The 15,311-nt window shown below is 44.0% G+C and overlaps 1 long non-coding RNA gene across 1 annotated transcript, besides 1 other annotated feature; it reads right to left on the reverse strand.

The window, feature by feature from the left end:
• Window positions 236-605: an enhancer, noted in NCBI's record as "active region_6840". NCBI's record gives its function as "activates an Ori minimal core promoter by ATAC-STARR-seq in GM12878 lymphoblastoid cells {active_cell/tissue: GM12878}" and the evidence as "EXISTENCE:reporter gene assay evidence [ECO:0000049][PMID:35858748]".
• Window positions 5,683-8,128, reverse strand: LOC124902994 (uncharacterized). Its single transcript, XR_007063420.1, has 2 exons — window positions 8,008-8,128; window positions 5,683-5,932 (listed from the first exon to the last, which is right to left on the reverse strand). It is a non-coding gene; the product is annotated as an uncharacterized LOC124902994 (long non-coding RNA).
• Window positions 8,129-15,311: the final 7,183 nt, after the last annotated feature.

Consider the following 15,311-nt stretch of genomic DNA (forward strand, 5'->3'; position numbering starts at 1 on the left):
GAAAGAAAGAAAGAAAGAAAGAAAGAAAAGAAAGAGAAAGAGAGAGAAAGATTCAAAGTGAGAGTCAGAGTACTAAAAACTGTATAGAATGACTGAGAGAAAGAAATCTATTTAACTTGCTTTAACGTATCCTTTCTAATACTGACTGACTGCAAAGCCCTTCTTCATATAAAAACTTTTAACATCCCAATTCTACAGAATGAGTTTTGGGGAATGTGGTAGCCAGCCTCCAAGATGACCCCCAGTGATTCTCACAGCCTAGGATTCATATCCTTGTGTGACCCCTCCCGCATTTAAGAGGGCTGACCTGTGTAATGAAAAGAATATTGCAGAAATGAGACAGTGTGATTTTTAAGGCTAGGCCATTAAAGATGTTGTGGCTTTCACCTTGCACTCTCTTGGCTTGTTCACCCTGAGAGAAGGCAGCCACCGTGTCATGAGGACACTCAAGCTGCCTGTGGAAAGACCCACATAGGGAGGAACTGAGTGAGCTCACTCTTGTGTGCCATCTTAGAACTGCATCCACCAGCCCTGGTCAAGCCTTCAGATGACTGCAGACCCAGTCAACACCTTGACTGCAATCTCATGAAAGACCCTGAGACAGACCCACCCAGCTAAGTCAGTCCTAAATTTCAAACCACAGAGACTATGTGAAATCACAAATATTTATTGTTGTTTTAAGCCACTAAGTTTGGAGGTAATTAATTATGCAGCAACAGATAACTAGTACAGGACTATTAACCTAAAGTACTTGATGTCAATCATTTTGGTTTGTCATTAAATCATCATACAGCTTTAGTATGGCATATGGTTTTACACTATTCTACTTCTCTAGGTACACTTCATTGATGTAGGGATGGACTCATATATTTTATTTTTTTTTATTTTTTTTTTGAGACGAAGTCTTGCTCTTGTCCCCTAGGCTGGAGTGCAATGGCATGATTTCGGCTCACTGCAACCTCTGCCTCCTGGGTTCAAGCAATTCTCCTGCCTCAGCACCCTGAGTAGCTGGGATTACAGGCGCCTGCCACCATGCTCAGTTAATTTTTGTATTTTTAGTAGAGACAGGGTTTTACCATGTTGGCCAGGCTGGTCTAGAACTCTTGACCTCAGGTGATCCACACACCTCGGCCTCCCAAAGTGCTGGGATTACAGGCATGAGCCACCGCGCCCGGCTGGATGGACTCCTATCTAAAGCCAATCAATCTTTGTCATTCCCTAGGATTTTTGTAACTGAAGCTGAACAAAGATTTATTTATTCTCTGTTGGTGAGGCCAGGAGATGGTGAGACTCAGGAACTGCTAGTGGCCACATTTCTTGCTATGTAAAGAAAGCTTTTCTAAGAGAAAGAAGTTAACAACACAGAGAGAGAAACAGAATTGAGAGACTGAGAAAAGAAGACCTAGCAGCACTCAAATCACCTGTTCCAATGACCTTGATACCACCTGCCACTCATCCTTCTCAGTGTGAGCCTTCCAGTAAGTCCCCTTCTTTTTGCCTAAGTTGGTTTAAGTTGGGGTTCTAGAGGGTGGGGGTGGGAGGAGGGAGAGCATCAGGAAGAATAGCTAATGGATGCTGGGGCTTAATACCTAGGTGATGTGCTGATCTGTGCAGCAAACTACCGTGGCAGACATTTACCTATGTAACAAGCGTGCACATCCTGCACATGTACCCCTGAACTTAAAAGTTGGAAGAAAAACAAAACTTGCAACAACCCCTAAAAAATAATAAGCTGGGTTTCTAAACCTTTCCTCCAAATGGGTCTTGACTGATGTATTCTCACACAACTCTATGCTTCCCCTAGCACAGCACTGATGACTGAGCTGTAATTGCTGGGTGCTTGTCTACCTGTCTACCTCTCTGTCCAGAAGACAGTGGCTTTCAGGTTCATGCATTCTGCCCATCGCTGGGGCACTCAACTGAGAGGGAAGGAAGTGGGGATGCACTCAATACACACAGGTAGGATTGCGACAACCATGTGTGTACTTCATAACCCTGAGCCCTGAACCACAGATGATTTACTCGAGCTGGGCCACAGTCTCCCTGTAGCAATTTGGGACTGAGTCATACAAAGATTGGACACTGAAACTCCTTCACACAAATAATAGCACTCTTCAGAGGATGTTATTAGCCTCTGGCTAGTAAGGGGCCCCAAGCTGTCTTCTGCGAATTCTCTAAGAACCTCTAATATTCCTCCAACAAGCTTGCAAGGTCATTTCTGCTTCCTAAAGCCAAAAGAAACTGAACTAATACACACCCCAAAATATTGTAGTTTCTGTGTGAGCAGGAACAACGTGTTCCTCATTATAGCTCCAAGGCCAGCACGGTCCCTAATCAGAACTCACTGAACACCTGATGAATGCCTGCAGCTCACTGCACTGAGTGGGAGATGCTCCTCCCACTTAGATAGGGATTTTTTTTTTTTTTAACTCTCTTGCCTTCAAGGTCCTGCGCACATCTGCCCTGGCCTTGGTCTCCCTGTGTTGTCAGCTACAGTGGCCAGTGTGTCCTCTGTAGGGTACATCACATCCCTGCTCAAGAATGCATGTTAGAGACTAGAAGTACCAGGCCTCTCATCACCTAAGAAACTTTACCCTTGACTACCTGCCCAGGGTCATCAGGCCTATCATACTGGTTTCCCTATACATCTTGTGTGTGCTGAACTAGGGCCGTAATGATAAGTCCATTTCCATTTCCAGTGTTGGGTTTTTTGTTTGTTTGTTTTTTGTTTTTGAGACAGTCTCGCTCTGTTGCCCAGGCTGGAGTGCAGTGGCATGATCTCGGCTCACTGCAACCTCCACCTCCCAGGTTCTAGCGATTCTCCTGCTTCAGCCTCCTGAGTAGCTGGAACTACAGGCACACACCACCACGCCCAGCTAATTTTTGTAGTTTTAGTAGAGACGGGGTTTCACCATGTTGGCCAGGATGGTCTCTATCTCTTGACCTTGTGATCCTCCCACCTCGGCCTCCCAAAGTGCTGGGATTACAGGCGTGAGCCACACGCCCGGCCAAGTGTTGGTTTTAAACTGGCCATGTTTCTGGGATTTTCCGACTGGCAGAGGCCACTACCTACTACTGAACTATATAGAACTTAGGAGTTTCTTGGGTTTTTCCAGTTTATAAGATGCAGGCAAAACTTGAAGGGAGGCAGGGGTTGCGGAGGGGAAGATGACCAACATCACAGGAAACATAAAAACATCATTATGATCATTATGTTTTCCTGAAACCCCAGAGAGGAGGTGAAGGGTAGGATGCAAGCATCCTTCCAGTCAGCTCTCTCCCAGAGCCCTGCATTTGATCCCATTTGGGGCATGTTCCTCTTCCCTCCCATCACAGCCTTTGCTAAGGCTGACCCGTGAAAGGCTGTACCTAGGCAGGGTGCTCTTGAGGAGAGTAATTCCGCATCAGGCTGGGAGTCAGTGACCAGGCAAGGCTGTGTGACCCAGGCAGGCCCCAGGCCCATCCCCTTCCCCAGTGCTCTCCAACCCACCTCTCCATTCTCTGCTGAGACTCTGACCTACCAAGTATCTAAGATTTATCTCCAACCTCTTCTTTTCTCCTAACTCTTTCATTTAATCTATAAACACACTCATGCTTCCCCTCATCCTTTGAGAGACAGAGAGGGAGAGAGAGAGAAAGAGAGGAGGGGAGAGGGGAAAAGAATATACTAGCCAGGCGCAGTGGCTTACGCCTATAATCCCAGCACTTTAGGAGGCCAAGGTGGGCAGATTGCTTAAGCCCATGAGTTCAAGACCAGCCTGGGCAACACGACAAAGCCCTGTCTCTACCAAAAATGTAAAAAAAAAATGAGCCTGGCATGGTGGTACGCACTAGTGGTCCCAGCTACTCAGGAGACTGAAGTGAGAGGATAGCTTGAGCCTCAAAGGTGAGATTATGGTGAGCCAAGATGGCACCACTGCATTCCTCAGCCTGGGTGACAGAGCGAGACCTGTGTCAAAAAAAAAAAAGAAAGCAAAAAGAAATGCTAGGTCAAATAGTGTTCCCCAATAATTCATGTCTACCTGGAACCTCAGAATGTGACCACATTTGGAAAGAGGGTCTTTGCTGATATAATTAAATTAAGATGAGGTCTTGGTGGGGCGCAGTGGCTCACACCTGTAATCCCAGCACTTTGGGATGCCAGGGTGGGCGGATCACCAGAGGTCAGGAGTTTGAGACCAGCCTGGCCAACATGGTGAAACCCCCATCTCTACTAAAATTACAAAAATTAGCCAGGCGTTGCAGCATATGCCTGTAATCCCAGCTACTTGGGAGGCTGAGGCAGGAGAATCACTTGAACCCAGGAGGCGGAGGTTGCAGTGAGCCGAGATCATGCCACTGCACGCCAGCCTGAGTGACAGAGACTCCATCTCAAAAAAAAAAAAAAAAAGATGAGATCCTATTAGATTAGGATGAGTCCTCATCTAATGACTGGTGTCCTTATAAGAGAAAACAGAGACCCAGAAGAGACACACAGGAAGAACACCCTGTGATGATGGAGGCAGAGATTGGAGGGATGTGGCTACAAGCCAAGGAACACCAACAATTGCCAGCAACCACCAGAAACTAGGAAGAGGCAAGGAAGGGTACTCCCGTAGGGCCTTCAGAGGGAGCACAGCCATATTGACACTCTGATTTCAGATAGCCTCCAGAACAATGTGAACAGAAACAAAAACATTTGTGTTGTTTTCAAGGCACCAGTTTGTGGTAATTTGTTACGGTAGCCCTAAGAAATGAATATACTTTCCATTTTGTTATTTTCTTTCTGCTCATCTGAATTTCCTAATTTTTCTACATTGAACATGGATTATTCGGATAACAAAAGCTTAAAAATTCCAAGCTCTTCCTTGATTCTGCATCCCCTTGCTCCTTCCCTGGATGGTCCAGCTTCCCTCGCAGGCTGAGTGTAGTCAATGTCTTACTTGCTCTCCTCCCAAACAGGCCTCTGCTCGGTGCAGTCTGGCTTCTACCCCCACGACCCCAAGAACCTGCTCCACCAAACATTGCCACTGGCCTCCATACTACTAAATCTCCCAATGTGTAACCCTTCTTACTGACCATCTCTACCACGTTTGTCAAATTCTCTTGCCTCCTTAAAAAGCTCTCCTCCTAATGATGCACACCATGGAGTATTCACAGCAATTAAAAACTGTGAGTTGGGGCTAGGCGCGGTGGCTCACACCTGTAATCCCAGCATTTTGGGAGGCCGAGGTGGGTGGATTTCTTGAGCCAGGACTTCAAGACCAGCCTGAGCAACATGGTGAAACACATCTCTACAGAAAAATTAAAAAATTAGCCAGGCATGGTGGTAAGTGCCTATAATCCCAGCTACCCGAGAGGCTGAGGTAGGAGAATCGCTTGAGCCAGGGAAGTGGAGGCTTCAGGTGGATACTCCAGCCTGGGCAACAGATTGAGACCCTGTCTCAAAAAAAAAAAAAAAAACAAAAAAAAAAGGAAAGAAAAAAAATAGAAGGAAAGAAAAAGAAACCTCAATGAAATTTTCCAACAGGGACCTACACTATAAATACAGACACTAGGCAATTGTCTTATTCCACTTTAGGTTCCCAATAAGGCTACACACTTAAGAACTGCAGGAATATTTAAAATAATTGAATTATTTCAATCTCAAACCATTTCATTTTATAGTATCAAAGCCATAGAACTCTATGTAAAATCAGTAGATTTATTCAGAACACTTTATTATTTCAACAAGAAAAACTGAAAGATTGTGTTTTTACATTTCCAGGAATTTGAAGTGGGAAAAATCTTAAACTTTAAGGACATTGTTTTAATATGATTTCTTGCAATTGATATTTATAATAATAAATTTTTTTCACCTTCCTCATTATTAAAACTTTAGAAACAATGAACATAAACCTTTAGAAATCAAAATGTTATTAAGGTTTTGTTTACACGAGCAGGTCTTGAGTTTCTAGAAAAAAAAAACAGAAAACAAAAAAAAAACCTGAATGAACAAATCAACAGGTCTATTCAAGAAAAACACATCACCTTTTTTTCTATCTAAAAAGTTCATTCCTAGATTATCTCCGTGGCTTAAATCCTGATATTATACAGATTTCAGCAGCTTGTAAGTTTCCTCTGATCCTCCCTTTATATAAGCTTTCCTATGATTTCCCATCAAGTTTTTCAATTTGTTTTAAAACCACAGACACACACACACACACACACACACACACACACACACACACACACACACACACACACACACACAATTGCACATCCTCCTCTCCCAGGGCTCTCCTAATAATCTGATTTTCTGATTTATTTTTCTTGTTCTTTTTTTTTTTTTTTTTTTTGAGCCAGAGTCTGGCTCTGTCACCCAGGCTGAAGTGCAGTGGTGCACTCTTGGCTGACTGCAGCCTCTGCCTCCCAGGCTCAAGTGATCCTCACACGTCAGCCTCCCAAGTCGCTGGGACTCCAGGCACATGCCACCAAGCCCAGCTAATATTTGTAGTTTTTGTAGAGACGGGGTTTAACCACATTGCCCAGGCTGAAATCTGATTTATTTTCAAGGAGATTGGCACCTCTCAGGGAATCTTCATTTTCTCTCTGTGCTTCATTGTCCAGGAATGCCAAGCATTCTCTCTCGTAGATTACACTAGACAGGCCTGTCTTCCTGGCAGCAACAGCACGCTCCAGGCTGAAGCAACTGCAGAAACTGCGAAGAAAAACAGCACCCCCATCTCCCCTCCCTCAGGGACTATATGAGACTTAACTAAATTTGTAATCTGACTAGGATCCAAATTTTTACCCTAGAGCAAACCAACAGCTCCAGGCCAAGAGCCTAAGATTCTTCTGTCCTAGGAATGACCCACTAAGTGAGTTAAAACCTACCAATCTAAGCTAACCTAAACTAGGAGCTGGCCCTAAACAGCATTTACTCTTCCTCCAATGACTTCATCTCTTCTGATAAAATTAATCAGAGGTTCAACTGAGTTATAACTCTACTCTTTTAAATATGCTTCTTAAATTTCCCATTGGCAATAATACACTAATGATTAATTGAATGCTATTGTATTATAGCAATTAGATTTATATCCTGGGATTATTTGATATTAAAAAATATTGATCAATCCTGATTATGTGGATTGAAAAATTAATCCTATAAGTAAACAGCATATAAATAGTATATAACATAATATATACATATATATAAATAATATATGTCCTTATAGTATAAAAGTTAGAAATACAGACAAAAAGAAATGGGGGACAGTCCCATATTTTCTTATAATCCAGAATGTACATTTGTAGCATTCCTAGGCATATGTAGCAAGCTGATATATAAAATGTTAACTAGGCCACGTACAGTGGCTTACGCCTGTAATCCCAGCACTTTGGGAGGCTGAGGCAGGCAGATCACCTGAGGTCAGGAGTTTGAGACCGGACTGGCCAACATGGCGAAACCTCGTCTCTACTAAAAATACAAAAATTAGCCAGGCATGGTGGTTTGTGCCTGTAATTCCAGCTACTCAGGAGATTGAGGCAGGAGAGTCGCTTGAACCTGGGAGGCAGAGGTTGCAGTGAGCCAAGATTACACCATTGCACTCCAGCCTGGGTGACAACAGCGAAATTCCATCTCAAAAAAAAAAAAAAATTAACTGCTTTGGTTTCTAAGACTATGGTTGCCTTACCCCTCACCAGCTCCCCCCACTTCCCCACCCCAGAGAAGAAACTATTCTAAAGTGTTAGGACTTTCAGTGACTAAGAAACCACTTAAGTCAATTGTGATTATCTGGAAGCAACTAAGTGTCATTTTCTGTATCAGAATGAATGGGCAGGAGATGGACTCTGGACGTAGAAATATGGGGAAAGAAATCACAAATTGAGGCCGGGTGCAGTGGCTCACACCTGTAATCCCAGCACTTTGGGAGGCCAAGGCGGGTGGATCACTTGAAGTCAAGAGTTCGACACCAATCTGGCCAACACGATGAAACCCTGTCTCTACTAAAAATACAAAAATTAGCCAAGCGTGGTGGTGCGCACCTGTAATCCCAGCTACTCAGGAGGCTGATGCAGGAGAATTGCTTGAACCAGGAGGCAGAGGTTGCAGTGAGCCGAGATCATGCCATTGCACTCCAGCCTGGGTGACAGAGCGAGACTTTGTCTCAAAAAAAAAAGAAAGAAAGAGAAAGAGAGAAAGGAAAGAAAGGAAAATAAATCACAAATTGAGTTTTAGAAAATAATTAAGTTACATTTCTAGCACACTGATATGGTTTGGCTCTGTGTTCCCACCCAAATCTCATGTCAAATTGTAATCCCCACATGTCAGGGGAGGGACCTGGTGGGAGGTGATTGGATCATGGGATTGGTTTCCCCCGTGCTGTTCTCATGATAGTGAGTGAGTTCTCACGAGATCTGATGGTTTTAAAAGTGTTTGGCAGTTTCCCACTTGCTCTCTCTCTCTCCTGCTGCTATGTAAGACGTGCCTTACTTCCCCTTTGCCTTCCACCATGAATGTAAGTTTCCTGAGGCCTCCCTAGCCATGCAGAACTGTGAGTCAACTAAACCTCTTTCCTTTTTAAATTACCCAGGCTCAGGTAGTTCTTTATAGCAGTGTGAAAATGGACTAACACACCCATTTTTTGTCCTTGACACATCATACCCACTACCCACGTGCACACACACAAGCATGCACACACATACACATATGACTTTGCATATTTGTAAGCAAAAATGGAATCATACCATACGTGCTGTTCTATAACCTGCCTTTCTCATGTAATAACATACCAAGCTTTCAATGCCAGGCTGAAATAGGCTCAATCACCCTCACCCCATCAGGTTATGGGAGATTGCATTTTCCAAAGAAGCCTCAACAATATCTTCTATCCCATACATTCTTCGGCAATGTGACCTTGTCACTCTCCTCTCAAGAAGTGGAGTCTAATTCACCTACCCTCAAATTTGGTTTGGTTTTAGTGACTCCCTTATACCAATAGATGGTGATAAAAGTGACTACATTGTGATTTCTTTTTCTTTTTTTCTTAGAGACAGGGTCTCACTCTGTTGCCCAGGCTGGAGTGCAACGGTGCAATCATAGCTCACTGCAGACTCGAACTCCTGAGCTCAAGAGATCCTCCTGTTTCGGCATCCCAAAGTGCTAGGATTACAGGCATGAGACACTGCATGCAGCCAAGAACATATGTTGACCTAAAACTGGCATTCTGTGATTGTAATGGAAAACAGATAAAGCAGGAGGAAGATGTAGGAAGATGGTGAGTATGAGAGAGGCATTTATAAATTATCAGAATATTAGTACTAATCCTTCTTGGCTTTTTTAAACCAGAAAAGGGAGCTCTGAATTTAATTCCCAAACTGTAATTTCTGGGACAAAAACTACCTAATGTACTATAATGGTTACATTTTATATCATCAGCTTTGATTGTCCTACATAAACACCAGTAACAATACCAATAAGAAGATCAATAATAATAGTAATATAAGTTTGTAATCAGTGACTTATTCACCATACGCCAAGCACTAGGTTAAGTGCTTTATGCTTTATCTCATTTAATTTTTTTTTTTTTACACGGGGTCTCTATCACCCAGGCTAGAGTGCGGTGGCACAACCATTCCTCACTGAAGCTTCGAACTCATGGCCTCAAGTGATCCTCCTGCCTCAGCCTCCCAAGTAACTGGGACTACAGGTGCATGCCACCACACCCAGCTAATTTTTTTATTTTTTGTAGATACATGGTCACACCATGTTGCTCAGACTGGTCTTAAACTCCTGGACTCAACGGATCCACCTGCCTTGATCTCCCAAAGTGCTGAGATTACAGATGTGAGCCACCGTGCCTGGCCTATCTCATTTAATCTTAACAGCACCCCTGTGATGTAGCCACTATTATCATACATATTTTACAAATGATGAAACAGGCTTACGAAGGTAGAGAAGTTACCCAGAATGACTCAGGTGGGAAGCTATGGGGCTGGACTTGAACTAAGGTATACCTGACTCCATGCTCTTAAGCCTGTTTGTTACTCAATTTGACATGTGTTCTATTCACAGATGCTGTATTAGTCTGTTCCATTCTCACATTGCTATAAAGAACTACCTGATCACCCACTACCCACACGCACTTTGGGAGGCCAAGGTGGGAGGATCGCTTGAGCCCAGGAGTTCAAGACCAGCCTGGGCAACATAGCGCAACCCCATCTCTACAAAAAATACAAAAATTAGCAGGGCATGATGATGCATGCCTGTAGTCCCAATTACTCAGGAGGCTGAGGCAAGATGATCGCGTGAGCCCTGGAGGTAGAGGCTGTAGTGTGCCAAGATCTCATCACTGCACTCCAGCCTGGGCGACAGAGTGAGACCCTATCTCAAAAAAAAAAAAGAACTGAGACTGGGTAATTTATGAAGAAAGAGGTTTAATTGACTCATAGTTCCACAGGCTGTATGGAAGCATGACTAGACCTCAGGAAACTTACAATCACGGCAGGTGAAGGGGAAGGAAGCACATCTTACTATGGCAGAGGAGAGAGAGAGAGAAAAGGGGGAAGTGCTACACACTTTTAAACCATCAAATCTTGTGAGAACTCACCCACTATGATGAGAATAGCAAGGGGGGAAACTGCCCCCATGATCCAATCAGCTCCCAACAGGTCCCTCCCCCAACATTGGGAATTACAATTCAAGATGAGATTTGGGTGAGGGCATAGAGCCAAATCATATCAGCATCTTTTGCTCAGAATTCCCATGTCTGGGGAATTCTCCACATTATAAGTCTCACCATCAAAGGTGGAAATCAGAAACTGGACTTCTCAGCCCTTCTTGCAGCTGGCATGCTGACTTGTGGCACAAGCCTTACTACCCAGATACACCCATATGAAGATTCAATTTGCAGAAGAACAGTATGAGAAAACAGGCAGTGCACAGAACCCATGCTTCCAGGGAGCGCTCCAGTGGAGGTGCCATTCCCATGAAGGTCTTCACAGCAGACAGCAGTGGAGGGGAGGGTGTTCTAACAGGGTCTTCAGTGACAGACACTGTAATGAAATCTTTGCTGTATCCACCAAGTCATTTGTTTCTGACTGTCAAGCTGCCAAGCCTAATTCTGGCCCTCCCAGAGTTTCTGTGAGCTTTAAGTTAGACCTCAATAAATTGTATTTCTCTCTTTTTTTTTTTTTTTTTTTTTTGATGTGGAGTCTCACTCTGTCACCCAGGCTGGAGTCCAGTGGCGCGATCTCGGCTCACTGCAAGCTCCTCCTCCTGGGTTCAAGCAACTCTCCTGCCTCAGCCTCCCGAGTAGCTGGGACTACAGGCACGCACCACCACGCCTGGCTAATTTTTTGTATTTTTAGTAGAGATGGGATTTCACCGTGTTAGCCAGGATGGCCTTGATCTCCTGACCTCCTGATCCGCCCACCTCAGCCTCTCAAAGTGCTGGGATTACAGGCGTGAGTCACTGCACCCGGCCTATTTCTGCTTTAACTAGCCAAAGTTTTGTTACATGGGACTAATAACCTGACTGGCACAATCTCTTCAAAACTCAGGAACTAATATTTCAAGCAGAAGTACAGAGATCTGTTTGTTCTGTTTTTCACAAGCTACAATCAATTTCATTATTAATGATTTGTTTTAAATGCACACACTTTTTCTAAGTGGGTGAGTCTTCTAATAATTCATCAAAAGTAGCAGGACTAGCTAAACTCGTCAGCTACATAGAGAGGTCTGCTGACTTTTCCCCCAACTGAGAAGCATTTCTTTCATGAGTAGAAATCCCAAAACACTTCAAATATACATTTTACCCTTTGGATATATTTTCTTTCTTTGCTTCCTTTGCTATTAATATTAATGTAATATATCTGGTTCTAACTGTGAATTTAATCAAATTCTTATTCTTTTGTCTTCACTTTATTCCTAAGGCCAAACTCTGAAACTTTTGCTAATTCCTGTCAGATATTTCATTCTCATAAAATGTCATCCTCGTCATCTCTCCTACTGATGGATTAAATGACATTACATAATTGTGAGGCATTTAGAACACTTTTTAAAATCTTATTTTTCCTACTGGTTGTCCACTGATCAACAGTCTGCCATGTTACATGCGGTATCCTTACATGAGGAACATGGCAGACAGAGTTGGTTGCCTTCTTGACAGCCATTTCCCATTATTTCTTGCTCAAAGAGCTTCAACTTGTGCAGGCATAGGCAGAAATATGCTCTTCCCCCAGCCCCAGCTAATTAATCCTGATGGTTTCCCTTTCCTTTTGCTGTGATTTAGGGTAGGCATCAGGTAGGTATATAAATTTGCCCAATCACTCTGGTCTAACTTTAAAACAATTTATGGTCCTCATAAAATAAGACGAATGCATGAAGAAGAGCGTCTGTACTCTCTTTTTCCTAATTTAGACATCATGCACGGATGTGATGTTTGCAGTTGCAGCAGGCATTTTGTAACCATGAAGAATTAAAAAATAAAAATAAAAAATAAAAATATAATGCCAGGCGCAGTGGCTCACAGCTGTAATCCCAGCACTTTGGGAGGCCGAGGCGGGCAGATCACGAGGTCAGAAGTTTGAGACCAGCCTGGCCACCATGGTGAAACCGCGTCTCTACTAAAAATACAAAAATTAGCCAGGCGTGGTGGCATGCACCTATAAGCCCAGCTACTGAGGGGGCTGAGGTGGAAGAATCACTTGAACCCGGGAGGCGGAGGTTGCAGAGAGCCGAGATCGCACCACTGCACTCCAGCCTGGGCAACAGAGTGAGACTCTATCTCAAAAAAAAATAAAATAAAATAAAACTAAGTGTTGAGGATGTGATGGTCAGGAGAGCAGCCAGTAGAAGTCAGTGATTCACATAACTTCACCTGCAAGCCATGGAAAAATCTCAGCAATCTAAGGCAAGACACTGCCTTCAATCCCAGCTGCTGACAGCACCAAAACAGGAAACTCTCAAGATTTTGCCTTCAGCCCATGTGTCTGCCTTCAACTGCCTCTGTTGAATAATGGTTTTTCTTTTCTGCTTTCCTTCTCACACAAGTGCCTCTCATTGGCAAACTCCAACTTGGAATCAAATGAAGGAGGGGATTCTGTCACATGTAACTACAGGTTTCTCTTCTTTAATGCAGAGCGGACTCTAGAAGGGATAATGGAGAGGTATAGCTGGACAACAGACAATCCAGCACAATGAAAGTGAAATGATGCCTTCAAAATTTTGAGGGCTAATAACTTCCAACTAGAATTATATTCTCAGCTAAGCTATCAATCAAGTATAAACATAAAATTGAATCCAGGCATGGTGGCTCACACCTGTCATCCTAGCTGCTTGGGAGGCTGCGGCAGGAGGATCCCTTGAGCCTAGGAGCTCAAGGTTACCATAAACTATGATCACATCACTGCATCCCATCCTGGGTGACAGAGCAAGACCCTATCTCTAAAAATAAAAATATAAAGGTTTTTTTTGGCTGGGCACAGTGGCCCACACCTGTAATCCCAGCACTTTGGGAGGCCAAGGTGGGCAGATTGCCTGAGGTCAGGAGTTCAAAACCAGCCTGGCCAACATGGCGAAACCCAGTCTCTACTAAAAATACAAAAAAAATTAGCCAGGCGTGGTGGTGGGTGACTGTAATCCCAATTACTTGGGAGGCTGAGGCAGGAGAATCACTTGAACCCAGGAGGTGGAGGTTGCAGTGAGCCAAGATCGCACCACTGCATTCCAGCCAGGTGGCAGAGTGAGACTCCGTCTCAAAAAAAAAAAAAAACAGAAAAAGAAAAAAAAAAGTTTTTTAGACATAAAAGGTCTGAAAAAGTTAACTTCCGTGTACCCATTCTCAAGAAATTTCAAGAAGATTGACTCCACCAGAATAAGACGAAAGCAAGAGAGAGTGTGAATTAAGAGTAAAGAGGAAGAAATGAGATGCAAGAAAGAAGCAATCCAACACGAGAGAAATAAAAAGGGTCCTCAGGAGGATGATAAAAAGAGGTCCTTGAATGACAGCTATGTGTCAGATGCAGAGGACAGTCAATCCAGATGGGAGCAATGTGACACAAGATGCAGACATCACAGGAGCCATCTCGAAGATACCCTTTGCCATTGGACCATCTTTTTGAGGCCTGGTGAATCTGACCTAGATTTTGTCTGTGCTTGGCACATCTTGACTATGTACCAATGGAGTTTCTGCTCTCCTCACCATGACAAGCAGAATTCTAAAATGACCTCCATAATCTCCACCCCCTAGTTATGAGTAGGTTTATGTCACCTTGCATGACACAAAGTTTTGTAGATGTAATTAAGGCGACTAATCAGTTGACTTTAAGACAAAGGATTATCCTGGTAAACCTGACTTAATCACATGAGCCCTTTAAAGGCATTTTAAGAGCATTTTCTCTGGCTGGTAGCAGAAGAGAAAGCCAGAGAGATTCTAAGCACAAGGGAGACTCAACATAAGGGAGACTCATCATAAGGAAGAGTCTCCAATGCTGAGTGGAGGGGGCCACCTGAGAGCAGCCTCTACGAGCTGGCAGCAGTCCCCACTGACAGCCAGAAAGAAAGTGAAGGCCAGGCACAGTGGCTCACGCCTGTAATCCCAATACTTTGGGAGGCCAAGCGGGCAGATCACTTGAGGTCAGGAGTTCAAGACCAGCCTGGCCAACATGGTGAAACCCCGTCTCTACTGAAAATACAAAAATTAGCCAGGCATGTTGGCAGATGCCTGTAATCCCAAGTACTTGGGAGGCTAAGGCAGGAGAATCGCTTGAACCCAGGAGGTGGAGGTTGCTGTGAGCCCAGACTGTGCCATTGCACTCCAGCCTGGGCAACAGAGAGAAACTCTGTTAAAAAAGAAAGAAAGAAAGAAAGAGAGAGAGAGAGGGAGGGAGGGAGGGAGGGAGGGGGAAGGGGAGGGGAGGGGAGGGGAGGAGAGGAGAGGAGGAGCCTCCAGTGCTGCACCTGCAAGGAAATGAACTCTGCTAACAACTTGAGCTACCTTGGAAATGAATCTTTCCCTAGGGGAGCCTCCAGAGGAGGAGGCAGCCAACCAATGTCTTGATTTCAGCCTAATGAGACCTTGAGGAGAGGAACCAGCTAAAATGTGCCAGGCTCCTCACCTGTAAAAACTATGAGACAATAAACGTATGTTGTTTTAAGCTGCTGCATTGGTGATAATTTATTATGTGGCAATAGAAGACTAACACACCCACCATGACCTGCTGTCTTCACGAACTGAGGAAATTCACCTTACCCCATAGAAGGGGTTTGCTTTGATTTCTTCTTGAAAGTAGGTAAGAAACCATGGCGAGCTTGGGAGCTGCAGATAGAGAGTCTCCCACTTCTTGAC

Source organism: Homo sapiens, chromosome 12, assembly GCF_000001405.40.
Source record: "Homo sapiens chromosome 12, GRCh38.p14 Primary Assembly".
In the NCBI taxonomy this organism is placed as follows: Eukaryota; Metazoa; Chordata; class Mammalia; order Primates; family Hominidae; genus Homo; species Homo sapiens.